This window comes from Homo sapiens, chromosome 11 (assembly GCF_000001405.40).
Source record: "Homo sapiens chromosome 11, GRCh38.p14 Primary Assembly".
NCBI classification, from domain to species: domain Eukaryota; kingdom Metazoa; phylum Chordata; class Mammalia; order Primates; family Hominidae; genus Homo; species Homo sapiens.
Window position 1 is genome coordinate 76,589,081 of NC_000011.10, and position 1,459 is coordinate 76,590,539.

Here is a 1,459-nt window from a genome sequence, read left to right on the forward strand (position 1 = left end):
TCTACTCACAGCAGCGTGGAGAGGGCTGGCCTGCCACAGCTCTGCCCCCGTTCCCTGGCAGTGGCTGCAGGGCAGGGAGAGGTCAGATTCCTCCCTGTTCCCTAGTGCCCGCTCAGGGTGTGGCCTGGCCAGACTGCTGGAGGGTTTGTTGAATGAATGAATGAATCCGCAGGCCTTCTGGAGTCTTCTCCAGGATAACAGCTGCCACCCCAGCTCCCCAACCACCCTCCCAGACTGTGGTTTCCAGAGCCCTCTGCCTCCAACCCCTTGCTCAGAACTTGCTTCGGTTTTTGTATTCATCTGCACATGTGGGACCCAGCTGCAGACACCGTCCAGGTCACTCTTGGGAGTGCAGGGCCCTGGCCTCGGGTGGCATGGTCCTGCACTGGCAGGGTTGGCTCTTGGTGCCAGGGACATTTCAGTGGGCCATTCATTCTCTTTTCACTCAAACATTTATGGGGCCTGGAACACGTGCCATGCACTGGGGATACAGCGTGACAAAGGTGGACAAGGTACCTCCTCCCACGAGGCTTACCCACCAGAGCGAGAGCAGAGGACCCAACAACGAACGCCCCGTCCCTGGTGGCATCAGGTGGGCTGGGGCCCCTGCGGTTGAATGTGTATGGTAGATACGGCCACAGGGTAACAGGGCAGGAGGGCAGTGGGAAGCTTGTGCAGGGAACAGACCCTGCCCCACAGCAGGCTGAGCCGCAGGGCTGAGTCCAGCCCCCAGAATGGAGTGTGGCAGAAGGATGGAAGCACTGGCCCTGAGGTCCAGGGTCCCCTGCAGATGACCCAAACAGATGATAGAGTGGGGAGGTCACAGGTGCCGGAGTCAGCCAGCCCCAATACTGAGGACTGTGTGGCTTCGGGCAAGTGGCTCTCTGAGCCCATTTCCTTTTCTGCAGAATGGATGTTAAGAATCCCCACCTCACTACAGGATAAAATGCACACACATGGGGGCATTTAGCAAAGCCCCTGGCCAATATGCGGGGCTCAAGCTGGGACTCAGCTCCTGTTGGGAGCCGGCAGTCAGCCCTGGAGCACGGGGCTGAGGCCCGGGTTGCTGACAACCCCCTGCCCTCCACTGCTCTGAGGCCTCTTGCAGCTAAGAGAGCCAAGGAGGAGGGGCAGGGAGTTCAAAAGGCTTAGGGCTAGGGGGAGAGGAGGGAGGAGGATAGAGTTTTGAATCGGGCATTTGATGTGTATGAAGTCACAAAATCCTCAGAAATCTGGGGTCAAGGGTCAAACACATCACCTCCCCCCCACTGCCTTACCATGAGGAAACTGAGGCTCAGAGAGGAAGTGATGTGCCACAGGTGTATGGAAGAGCTGTGTTTAGATCTAGGGATGCAGGACTCCTGAGCTCATGGCCCTTGTCTTGTGCTGAGGTTGGGGGTTTCAGCCTGGCCCCCCACCTTCTTTCTCACAAGCCTTAGCCCCTGGGGTTAACTGAGTG

At 58.3% G+C, this 1,459-nt stretch overlaps 1 annotated feature.

Annotated features, from left to right (window-relative positions):
- Window positions 533–1,205: an enhancer, noted in NCBI's record as "H3K4me1 hESC enhancer chr11:76300657-76301329 (GRCh37/hg19 assembly coordinates)". NCBI's record gives its function as "activates a minimal SCP1, AML or CMV promoter by ChIP-STARR-seq in naive and primed H9 embryonic stem cells {active_cell/tissue: H9 hESC(naive and primed)}" and the evidence as "EXISTENCE:reporter gene assay evidence [ECO:0000049][PMID:30033119]".